This window comes from Homo sapiens, chromosome 3 (assembly GCF_000001405.40).
Source record: "Homo sapiens chromosome 3, GRCh38.p14 Primary Assembly".
In the NCBI taxonomy this organism is placed as follows: domain Eukaryota; kingdom Metazoa; phylum Chordata; class Mammalia; order Primates; family Hominidae; genus Homo; species Homo sapiens.
The window spans coordinates 3,024,926-3,037,700 of record NC_000003.12 but is presented as its reverse complement, the minus strand read 5'-3'; the positions used below and the strand labels follow the sequence as shown (position 1 = coordinate 3,037,700).

At 39.7% G+C, this 12,775-nt stretch overlaps 1 protein-coding gene across 40 annotated transcripts in view, besides 1 other annotated feature; it reads right to left on the bottom strand.

The window, feature by feature from the left end:
• Positions 1-12,775, bottom strand: part of CNTN4 (contactin 4) — a 959,094-nt gene that overhangs the window by 20,259 nt on the left and 926,060 nt on the right. For 33 of the 40 annotated variants that reach the window (XM_017005783.2, NM_001350095.2, XM_011533427.3 and 30 more), the window contains 4 exons: positions 11,424-11,599; positions 6,726-6,846; positions 2,911-3,069; positions 373-522 (listed from right to left, as the gene is read on the bottom strand). In XM_017005783.2, coding sequence (XP_016861272.1) covers positions 373-522; positions 2,911-3,069; positions 6,726-6,846; positions 11,424-11,599 — 606 coding nt within the window. The remainder of the gene's footprint in view (positions 1-372; positions 523-2,910; positions 3,070-6,725; positions 6,847-11,423; positions 11,600-12,775) is intronic. The other 7 variants (XM_047447536.1, XM_017005785.2, XM_006713004.5 and 4 more) reach the window with 1 other exon arrangement.
• Positions 6,936-7,105: an enhancer, noted in NCBI's record as "experimental_69430 CRE fragment used in MPRA reporter constructs". NCBI's record gives its function as "activates a minimal promoter by MPRAs in K562 erythroleukemia cells, with activity observed for the non-introgressed 3:3072365 variant allele {active_cell/tissue: K562}" and the evidence as "EXISTENCE:reporter gene assay evidence [ECO:0000049][PMID:34662402]".

Sequence of the window (12,775 nt, the reverse complement as noted above, 5' to 3'; positions counted from 1 at the left end):
ACAAATTATTCTTTGCCATTAGTTACTTATGTGAGATAATTTTATTTGAAATGTGGGATTTTTTTTTGAAATTCTGTTAGAATCTTGGTGACAAATGAACCAATGAAGAAAGGGCTGGCTTTTGAGAGGACTAAGCACCGTGTGTCTCTTGCTGTACAAGTGGACCTAATGAAGAAAACAACTCTTGATTGAAACCCGTTGCGTGTTCAGCTGGGCTTCTCCTGGCCTGATTTCTATCATTATAAACATTTAAAGGGAAGGGTGAGCTAACACAGAGCCGCATGAGCGCTGAAGAGCAGCAAGAATTCAAACGCTTTTCCTAAGGAACAGCAGCTGGCAGAACAGATGATCTGAATCTCGGGTGCTACTCACGAGCTTCTTCTGTTCTCCGTTTCTCTGAGGGGCGGCTGGGCTCCCCAATCCCAATCACGTTGGCTGCAACTGTGCGGAATTCATATTCAACCCAAGGGTTCAAACCCACCACGGTCGCTGTGAATGTCTTCCCATCAATGAGTTCTGGGACTGAAAGACAACAAAAGGTGGGGGCTGTTTCATAGGTTCTCAGAAAACAAATGCAGAGATTACGTTAGGAAGATAGGAACATCCATCCATCCTCATCATTATTGTATTCAGGGCAGTGTAGGTGTTCTGATATTAGCTGCATCAACAGTTGTTTCAGTGAGGTAATCTCAGAACTATCTCTGTATGTTAAACTAACACACTCTAATCAGATACCAGCAGATGACATCATAAAAGACACACAGTCCACAAGACCCCAAACTACCTGACTCAATCATTACTATCACCCCTTCACATGTGTTTCCGCATTTATTGTATAGTGCCAGACACACTATTTCAACTATCCTCTGAGAAAGGTAAAAGTATTATATTCTTTTTTTCTTTTCTTTTTTTTTTTCTTTTTTTGAGACAGGGTCTCTCTCTCTCTCTCTCTGATGCCCAGGGTAGAGTGCAGTGGCACAATCTCGGCTCACTGCAACCTCCACCTCCCAGACTCATGCAATTCTTGTGCCTCAGCCTCCTGAGTAGCAGGGACTACAGGTGCATGCCACTATGCCTGTCTATTTTTTTTTTGTATTTTTAGTAGAGACGGGATTTCGCCTCATTTCCCAGACTGCTCTCAAACTCCTGGGCTCAAGCGATCCACCCGCCTTGGCCTATCAAAGTGCTGGGATGACAGTTGTGAGCCACTGCGCCTGGCCTATATTCATTCTTAAACAATTCTTATTGTGCCCATTTAACAGAAGAGGAAAATGAAGATGTATAGAGATCAGCTGATTAGCAGTCAGGTCTAGAATTCATCTCCTAACTTCTATATTTTTCTCATATTTCCTTCTTAAAGCACACCTGTGACTCAGTGATTACAGAAGGAAACACAGAAACCCATTTCTAAGGATTAGTAAACTAAAGTGAAAAAAACAAATGGGTTAAAATCAACAAGATTTATATGAATTGCTCAACACTGGGCATATTCTCCTTCAAAACATCAAGGCCATATAGCCTACTTTTGCTGTCTAGAGGAGTGTGTATCTTTGTTTGTAATAACTACTTGTTCATCCAATTTATCCTTAAATGAAATCTAAATAAGAAAATGAGTCAATTTGGAGGTACTGACAGAGTGGGGTTGGTATAAGAATTCTTTTACATGCAAAGAGAAATAACTGTGAAACTTTTAAAAAATAGGAAGTGCTGTATACATGTAATAAAGGGAAACAGGATGGAAGTGTTGCTGCTAACAATGTTTTTTTTTTTTTTAAGAATTTGTAAAATTGGTTAAAAAGAAATCTCATGTCTTTTTATCCCCAAATTTATCCATCTAAAAAAATGGGGCTGGACACAGTGGCTCACGCCTGAAATCCCAGCAATTTGGGAGGCTGATGGAGAATTGCTTGAGCGCAGGAGTTTGAGACCAGCCTAAGCAACATAGCAAGACCTGTCTCTACAAAAAATTTTAGAGAATTAGCTGGGTGTGGGGGCCTGCGCCTGTGGTCTCAGCTACTCAACAGGCTGAGGTGGGAAGATTGCTTGAGCCCAGGAGGTCGAGGCTGCAGTGTGCTGTGATTGTACCACTGCACTCCAGCCTGGGTGACAGAGTGAGACCCTGTCTCAAAAAACACAGCAGCAAGTGAAGAGGCTCCCTATAATCCTCTGTTATTGGTTTTTGAGAGCACTGTGTAAACTTTATGAAGTCTGTGACTATTAAGTGACTATAGTCAGGCAGAATCCGCTGCTTTCCAAAGTGAACCACAGTGCTACACAGATGATTTTAGGTAATACAGATTGATGCATTTTATTTTTATAACTAATATATTTTTAATGTGTGTTACGGAAAATACATATACAACCAGCACAACAGACTTTTTTTTTTTTTTTTTTTGAGACGGAGTCTCACTGTCACCCAGGCTGGAGTTCAGTGGTGTGATCTTGGCTCACTGCAACCTCTACCTCCTGGGCTCAAGCAATCCTCCCACCTCAGCCTCCTGAGTTGCTAGGACTGCAGGCACGCACCACCATGCCAGGCTAATTTTTGTATATTTTGTAGAGAGGGGGTTTTGCCATGTTGCCCAGGCTGGTCTGGAACTCCTGGGCTCACGCGATCCATCCAACTCTACCTCCCACAGTGCTGGGATTGCAGGCGTGAGCCACCAAATCTGGCCTGGACATTACCATTTCACAGATACTATTGCTTAGGATGAGTTTAAAAAAACCCAACTGTGATTTGATATAAAGAAAAATATTAATGATAGTACAGTTGGCCGAGGTTTAGGAAACACTGCCATAATATATCATTTGTAGTAGTGTCTGAATGAGAACTTAGACGTTCCTTGCCACAGTGCTGTGTCCAGTATGCTGAGTTCCCAATGTCTCTGAGCCAAGCATCCAATATGGTACCTGTACTGACTGCTTGCCAGCCCACGGAGAATGGAGTCCTGGCTTGAATGACATACATGGTGATGGGGCTGTGGTTGTCAGGCCCGGGTCTCCAGGAGAGCTGAGCAGTGGTATCTGTGATTTCGTCTATTGTCACAGCCTCTGGGGGACCTGGAGGACCTGGGAAAGAGCAAGACCCCCAGAATTGGAGCAGTGTATTCAAACACCCAAGTAAAGGAGCCACATACTTGAATGGGGCATTGACCCATTCATTTATCTACCCATTCACAGATTCATCACTTGTCAAATCCTTTTTGAACTCCTACTACGTGCTTGGAACTTTCCTGGGCTTGGAAACCACAGAGGTGAATGAAACACAGCCCCTTCCTTCTAGGGGCCCACAGTTTAATATGAAAAACTAATAGGTAAACAAATAATTACAACTGAATACTTAATGTTAATAGAGAGTATTGGGGTACCATAAGAGCCCACATTCATTAATTCATTATTTATTTATAGGTTCCTAATATGGGTCAGACAGTGTTATTTGAGGATACGGTAGTGAGAAAAGATAGATATTGCTCCTGATTTCATAAAGAGTATAGTCTGCTGGAAATGGTTATTTCTACCACTGAGAATATAGATTTAAGCACAAATGGCTTTAAAACTTTGAAGGTTACAGTGTTGCTCTGCACATTCTGCTGCACTGTAATTACTAGCACTCTCTTCACATCCAACCCTGCTTCCCACGTGAGCACACACTTGCGTGCAAGGGAACTGCTGTGAAAATGGCCGGTGCGCAAGAGTCAAGGCGCTCCCTTCTTCAAAGCAATTTCAAAATTAGGCTAGATACTAAAGACCCTCATCTGTAGTTTCTGCAACTCATACCCGTATTTTTCTACTTCTCTTCCTGATGTTCGTTGTTTCTGTCCATGTACTTAAACCATGGAAAGGGGAGGAAATCAGATTTAAATGAAGGCTTGAAACTAATAAAGAAATAGAGGGATGGAAAGCAGCTGGCAGGTAAAGACAAAATATCAACAGAGCCAGAGCAAAGACCCGCAGCTATCCCACTTTCCAACATGAAAATCTCTTACCAGGCAGTTAAATGCATTTTTAACAAGGTACAATTGACCACCTCAGGAGGGAAGGTGATGGTGAGGGGACATAATGACAAACCTCATGCCCATTAGACGGGCATAAGGAGATGTTCCTAGGAAGGATTTGCTAATCCCCAGTCTAGCAATCAAATGTACTACCCAAATACTATCAGGCCATGTCACAGGGACAGGGAAAAAAGAAACCTCTCACAGAGCAGTGCAAAATTAACAGCAATTTCCTGAAGTTAGCCTTTGTTCTAGGATTCACTCCTTCACCGTTTACGTGATGCCCTAAATTCCCTTTCCTTTTTTAAAAATCACTTTTATAGACCCACAGGTGAGACTAAATTTATCTTCTCCCTCCCACTCCTGAATGAAATGTCTGGAAATCTGTATGCTGGAACTGATTAATTTTCCATGGTGACATTTCAGCATGTCAGTCTAATGTCACCTAGATAGAGCTGATGTAACCTTTGGTCTTGGGACCCCTTTTAACCAGATAAAGTCTAGAAGACAATATAATTTTTTTCACTAGTTTTCTCATCCTAGCATTCCCCACCATTTTTTTTAATGGATGCTGCACTGATGTCCTTTAAAATCTAAGTACCACAAATAGAAAAGTGTTTCCCTCTGAACTCTTCAAAGAATTAAATCGATAGGAAATATCTGAGTCCATTGTTGGCCTCTCTATAGGAAGAAAATGAAGGGCTGGTATGAGTTTGGACACTGGAGAGAAGATGGTAGTTTCCTGGATTTGTTTGTTCTTTTTTTTATCTTCCTGCCACCCTCTCCTACCGATGCATAGCTACGACCTTACAGAATGTTTACCAACTTTGTTTTAGGGAAGTGGACTCCCTCTTTCAAAATGAAAAATGTACAAATGTTTGTCCTCTGAACAAAATGATAACACACTCAGGGGCATGTAGAAGATTTTGTTTCAGGCAATGGCAAAGGGAAGATTAGTTTGATTCTGGGGTCTGCTTCTCCCTCAGGAAGGGTGGCCTTTCTGGCTGCCATTACAGTGCTATAGGTTAAATAGAACAGGCCTCAGAAAATCAAAGAATCTGGAGCCAAGACTCAAAGCTGCTATACGTTTCAAATATGAAAATGTCTTTCAGGGTGGTGAAATACATTCCTGCCTCCCCCTCTGTAATGTGCAAGAAAAGCTGCAAGGGCAGAGCAGAAGGAGATAAAATGAAAGATTATGGTTTTAAATGGCACATTAATTTATTGGCCTTATTAACTGATTAGACTAGATTTTCTTTTAGACTGCGTTTGCAAATTCCTCCTGGTATTTAATGTTATTTTCTGTGAAATGAAGTATACAATATCATTTAAGAACTTCAAGTATTGCTGATTTAAATATTTATTAGTCTAATTTATTGGTGTTTTAACTGCTGATCTGAACATTATCCTAATTAAATAGAGGATAAATTTTCAGCAACAGAATTCTTTTGTTCCCAAGGGGAGGGCAGACCAGCCTGGTGTATTTTCAAATGGAAATAAACACATTTCTATAAGTTATTCTGTGGGCAGATCTACCTCGGTTGAAAGTTTTTTCTCATTTCCAGCCCTTGTCTGCACTGTTGCTGAAAGTTTTTTTAAAGGCAATTGAAAGGGGAACAAAGCAGACACATTGGAATTGCTATTTCTCTTGAACCCTCTCTTCACAATCAGTTTAAGTTGGTAACTCCCACACATTTCCCCCCTTACATTATGCCTAGAGGATACAGCAACACTCTTTATGGCTTCCAATAATACCTTGTTCTCTGTGCATGCAGATTAACCCTGCCTCCAACGCTCATACCCTAAATTTTTATTTTCTTGCGTTCGAAGTTTTGCCATGCGCTCTGCCAGCCGGCCAAAGATGCCTGAACACCAACAGTCAGGGATTCTGATGAAGGAGATTCTAGCTAAGATATTATTTTGATGTCTGGATTGGCCTCTATTTTAATGCTATAGAAAACCCCTGAGCATGCATAGGTTGGATTCTGGTATGTACACTGGTTAGTGAAGATTTTAATTTTCATTTAAAAATATTTCTTAAAAGTCCATTTACAGTTCCTTTGCCAACCGGTTTGGTGAGGCTTGGAATGTACTCAGTTGGTGTTGCTCAGCCGGGGGGGTCATAGCTCTTAGGTCCAAATTAGGTCATGCTGATAATATTCAAGAGAATCTCAAAAATGTTAGTATTTACATCAACTCTCAGCTCATTTACTACATCCCAGGCAGTCAGGAAGTGTCCTCTCCCAAAACCCTATTTTAGGAACCGAACAGCACTGTGAAGTTTAGGGAAAAAAGGAAACTCGGATAAACCTGATGATGACTTTACTTAAGCTGCTGTTATACCAGTGGCCTAGGATACTAATTCAGTTTGGCCCAGATGAAACATAAAAAGGGACAGTTTAATCCCTCTTTAAACTATCTGCTTTTGTTCACCTAAATTTGTTCTAGAAGGTCATATCAACTCCAACAGCCGTAATCGGGTACTCGATTTACTCAATTATCCTTCTAGTGTAAAGTTACTGGATGTGTTCGGTGCATTTTCTGACAAGCCGCACTGAGGAACTGTATATGAACCAGAAACTTCTGTGGACTGTTAGCCACTGTTTACAATGTTCAGCTTCTGCCTGACTTTTTCCCATAATTCTAAACCACTGAGGTTTCTGGAACTCTGCGCTACAGTAGATATCATGAAAATATTTCAAGAACAACAATAACAACAAAATCCAGTACCTCTTACAATCAGGTCTGCAGCAGCAGATAGCCTGTCCACACTTGTTTGGACCATGCAGACATATTTCCCAGCATGCTTCAGTTGGATGTTTCGGATCATCAAATCACCAGCTGAATCCTGCTGATAAAGTAGGGGAAAGTGGCTGCAATTACTTTTTAATGAGCTCTAAATATCATTATCACATGAAGGACACGGTGACTAATGGATTTATTTTACACTGGCTGATGAAAGCATTAGTGATGCAAACCATGGCCTGTTAAAAATATGTGAGCCTGCCTGAGAGATGGGAACACCGACGTTTTCAGAACACATCTTCGACAAGACCTCAGGTGTCTGGCTTCTCTGAGTCTCTGGAGCAGTTTGGCACCCATGTCGGAAGGACGTAAGTTACATGCTACATAAGTCCTACGTACTACGGTGGCTCTCGATCTAGTTTTGTGAGTTTCTTCAGAAATGCCCTCAGCCTATGGCCTTGGTTGGCGTTCGGATACTTTAGAACTCTGTATTTGGAAAACGGAAGCAAGCCCACATTTGGAAGTATCTGCATTTTATTGCTCAACCCTTTCTTAGAGCCAGCATTGTTATTGCTCCCAGGTTGGAATGAAAGGATTAGGAAGACCAGATTCTCCAAGGAAATCTCGCATCACCTAGTGTGGAACAGTGCTCATTTGGTTTCCAAATGCCAAATGCATGTTTGATTAGCAGAAGAATGGGACTAATTACATCCTGGTTTGGATGTCTATGCGCCCCAGAAATATTTCTCCAGCATTCGCCAGCACAGTACTTTTAATAAATGTGAGGAGATGATTCCACAGGCTATCACAAAGGCAGCACTTTACCTGAAGAACACTGCTACACCTTGGAGTTTGGTTCATAGCCCTGTTAATCCAAAGTTTGGAGAATAGCTGCTTGATGAAGAGACCACCCTAGAGGCCAGATTTGAAAAAGTACACTTCATTCTAAACCCGTAATGGATGACAAGATAATTTAGGGTATATTGGCCCTCCTTCATTTTCCCATTCCAAACTATACAACAGGAAATTGACACAGACTCTTGTGTTGCTATTTCTCCAATGACAATAGTAATGGATGATGTTTAATGGTATTTACTATATGACAGGCAGCTTCCAAGTACTTTACCTATATTAAACTCACTAAATACTCACATGTCCTCTGAGGCAGGTATTCTTGTTATCCTTATTTTACAGATGAGGAAATTCCAGCACAAAGAGGTTAGGAGTCTTGCCTAAAGTCACGTAGCTAGAAAATGGCAGAGCCAGGATTTGAACCCATATAGTCCCTGTTCTTAACAGTAACACTAGACTAGCATCCGGAAAGACCATATCCTCATTCTATTTCAAAATTAATATGTATTTGGTTATCTCCATCGTTTCAGTACAGAGTGTCACATTCACAGGATAATGGAAGAGATAGAATTGCCAATTAGAAATACGATTAGAAGAGATGCCAAAGCATGGAGTGAAGGAAGAGCTACAGTTTTGGTGCTTAGTTGTCTTGGGCTGATTCCTGCTGTGTGATTTCATCTAAATCTCTTAATCTCTCTTGGCCTTGATTTACTGACTTTCAAAAGACCTTTATTGACCTTCATGCTAGGTTGTGAAAATCAAATGAGATTATCTGTGTTATGTGAAAATCTTCTGAAACCTTGAAGCGTAGATTAACTCTAAACTGGTATTACTGACAGCCATGATCCATTTTTTTGTGAAACAGACATGTCCAAGATGTTAAATCTAATTCAGGAAAAGCTATGGTATTTTAACCCAAAACGTCTTTTGTTTGTAACACTTGGCTTCTCATCCAGATGCCACTGTTTACGGATCAAGTCTTATAATTGCTCAATAAAATGGGAAAATAATTGTTAACCTATTTGACAAGATTTCTGTGAGGATTAAGGAGCTATTACAGTCATCCTTTGGTAGACACAGGGGATTGGACTCAGGACTCAGGACCGTAGTACACTAAAATCCACACATACTCAAGTCCTGCAGTCAGCCCTCTGGAACCCGAGTATATGACAAGTCAGTCTTCCATATATGTGGGTTATTTCACATCCCACGAATATTGTATTTGCAATCTGAGTGTGGTAGAAAAAAAATCCACATATAAGTAGACCCATACAGCTCAAACCTGTGTTGTTCAAGGGTCAAGTGTATATAAGAAAGTACCCGATAAATGATTAGGCACTTTGCAAGTATCAGGAATTATCACTATTATCATCATCATTATTAAGATTATTGATACTTTACCTAAGAAATTTCACATATGGGGACTTCGAATACAGGTTTAAATAAAAAATATGCCCCAGGGGATGCGTGCAGGGAAGGTGGGAAGCCACATTGGCCTTAGGGAAATGCCTATACCATCTATCTAATTCACTTTATTCATGAAGGGCTTAAATGTCAAAGAAACTTGCAGCCTGGATATTTCAGAGCACAGCAACCTATTAATAGAAAATTTTGATTTTGCGATTCAGAAGTACTGTAGTTATTTACACATTTTGACTGGATTTGTGTTTTTAAAGTAAAACTGAAACAAAGAAAAAAATAGAGTGAGGAGTGAGGTAAGAGTCTCATCAAAGCAGACCACAATAACTTTCTCTTTCCCTTTGAAGTCACCCAGACCCAACTATTAACTAAGATCTACATTTTTTATGTTCCTACCAAAGAAAACAACAGCATCTGCTTATTTTCCACCACCGCAGTCTGTTGTGTTCCTGACAGAATACTCGGTGGGGATGGGGTGTATCAGAGGACAATGAAATAATAACTTTTATAAAACCTCAATAGGTTAACTCTATACCAAGCATCATTTCCACCATGCTGACCCAGGAAGTCGAAGCTGAAATAGGCTTGACTTCAAAATTGCGCTTGCTTATCTCTTCTATTGTCAAGTCCTGACTCCACAGACATTAATGATCCTAGTGGCTAGTACACTTAGATCTCACATGTGGTTGTGCTGTCCTTAATTTTCTATGTATTTCTCAGCAGAAGTTGATTGGTGTTAGCACTAGTTTAACAGGGGAGATAGACATTTTCCATATGAAAGATGAATGTGAGCAGCTCTACGGACAGCTGTCTTTACAAAAGGTAGTCATCAGTGTTTGACTTCATTAGGTGTCCCTGTTTCTGCCTTAGCCCTGGCACCATTCTGGCATAAAGGCTACATGTGTCTGAATGGTAGGACGTCCACTTCGATTGGTCGGGCATCTGTTTTCATTGGTTGGTGCTTGCGCCATTCTGAGATTTAGCATTTTTAATATCTCTCCTGCCCAAGAAATTGGTTTTAATGTGAGAACATTCTGCTTAATTTATGAAGAATGTTCTCGATTTACACTTTCCTGTTATTACAATCAATGTTACCCTTCCTTCAATTAATACCACCATTAAAGTTTATCAAGTACTTCTTTTGTGGTAGACATTGGGCTATGTACTTTCCTAGACCTCAGGATATTCAATATCTCCAATGTCTTTGTGAAGTAGTTAATATTTCTTTCACTTAGCCAAAGTTATTAAGCTGAACCATGTGAAAGAGGTCCAGAATGGTTTACGCTGGCAATTTCATCCAGCCTTTCTCAGTCAGGGTCCCAAGAGATAATCCCTAGTGAACCCAGGCATCCACTGATGTAACGAATTAACTTCTTTCCTGTGCCATCTAAAGTTGTACCAATCAGATACCACTCTTGGCATAGAACTGAGACAACAGTCATTGAAATTGTTTTGGGCATTCTGTGACTCAACTGCAAAAACCCTGTTTGATAAAGGTAGTAAGACTGTGATGAACAGGGCTAGTACTGTAGTTGGGTGGAAAATATGCTCTCACTATATCACATGGATGACTTTAGGCCACTTATTCTCAACGTAAAGGGGGTGGACAGATTTTTATAGCAGCCTAGGAAGTGGGGAGAGCTTTTCAAGTCAGGGCCCCATTTTTGTATTCCGCTATGTTTTGGCTGGACTCCATCATAAAAATGGCAGCCGGAGTCCATCTTTATTGTCAATGGGATCACAGAGGTGCGTTAGAGCAGAAAAAAATTTTTTGACAATGATTGTGATTGATAGGAATTGTTCCCAGATTTAACCTCTTCTTGTTATGTGTTCAATGATAATATACCGTTATGGAAAGGAAGGCATTTTGAAAATCCAATCATTTTGAATTCAAATTACCTGGAGATAGTAAATAACCCCATCAGACTTTCAAATTCAAGAAAGAAAACCCTAAATTCACAATGACGTGCCTTCTACAAGGTCAAAGGGAGTTTAATTAGCAGCCTAAAAACAGAAGGAAACTATCCTTAAGCTATTTTCTTGGTCAGATTCTAGGATATATGATATGATATGTGACACAGAGTTTGGGATTTGAAGTTTTAAGCTGAGTTCCACAATTCAGTAGCTATGAGGCCAAGGCAAGTCATCCAATGCCTGTGAGCCTTAGTTTCTAATCCATACACAGGAATGAATAATTAACCTGTAGGATTGGTGCCAGTTAGGGAGCAGTCCTGCCATATAGAGTTGTTCAATGAGTGATGCCACATTTATTGTGCAAAAAGGAGCAGGAATTAACCAAGAGTTTCTTGCCATAAGATTACTTGAACAAAATTCTAAAATAGTAACTTTAAATATATTGTTAAGTTGGTCTAAACAAGTTAGTTTGAGTCAGTTTTTGCTATTAATACTTACCCCTCCAACTCTTTCAAAGTGGTCCCCATCTCTGTCAAAGTCTATCAGGTGTCCATTAAATGACCAAGTAAACACGATGTCTAGCGAGTGATCATGCGTTACCTGGCACGGTAAAACAATACTCTCTCCAACAGTGACATCCATACTGGAAGGGGGTACCATTACCCTTGTTGGATCTGGAGAGTTAAAACAAAACAAACAATAACAACAACAAAGTCTGTGAGCTTGTGTGGAAATACAATGTAGACTCCAAGAGCAGGATGAAATACTAAGTAATTTTGCTTTATTTTTTCTGAGGCTGTGACCAGCAAACCTCAGTCATCTGGGAAGCTCAGACTCAGGCCAGGAGGTCATTTTTAATATGAAAAGATGAAAACACTCATTATGTGAACCTTCTCAGAGCAACAGAACTCAGCCAGGGAGCATGGAGGTGAGATCTCTAAAGATGCTCGTGGAAGGGCTTACTTTCTGGCAGCCTGCTCTGAATTGCCTCTTTGAAAAGGTTTTCGTCTCTCTCCAGTTTCACTAGAAAGCTACATTTCAGCTGAGTGCAAACAGGAAAAATCCATGTTGATTTGAAGTTTGTTAGGCTCTTTTTTTCTATTGTAAAAGTAATAAATGTTTTAGCACAGGTAATTTAGGAAATTCAGGAAAATTAAAAGAAGGAATAGAAAAACAAATCCTACCCAGATAAAACATCTATTTTCATGGTGGTATAATTTCCCCCAGTCTTTTTGGTTCACAGTTTTTCAGTTGTTTTGTTTTACACCATTATAAAAATGAGACAAATACGATTTTCCTTTTTCTCCTCAATATTGTATAGGCATGTTTATTCCTTTGTCAACATAATTTTATAATCTGCTTTAAGCTTACAGTTTTAACCATTTTGAAACTAGTTGGCATTTTAGCAAATTTTATTAGACATTTTTCTAATATTTATAATTAGAAATAATAAATAATGCTGTAATGAACATCACTGACAAAATGATACAGGTATATTACTTTTTAAAAATAAGGACCATCAATTCGCTTTAAAATTCACCCTTTACATTATAGTTTAAACTGGGAATAGAATGGGCTTGCTTAGCTGAGACAGTTTATGAACTCCAAAACTACATTCACACCCATAGTGCCTTATTTTTCTGCAACATGATTTCATAAATGGTGTCAGAGAGTACACTAGTGAGAAGCAGTTTGAATTCAATGTAAAGGCCGCATACATGCCTAAAGAATAAAATTCTGAATTAGGCCATATTCCAGAAATTTCTACATACTAAACCAAACCGAGCCAATCAAACAATTACAAAGAAGACAAACCAAAACCAAACCAAATAATAAAAGAACACTGACTA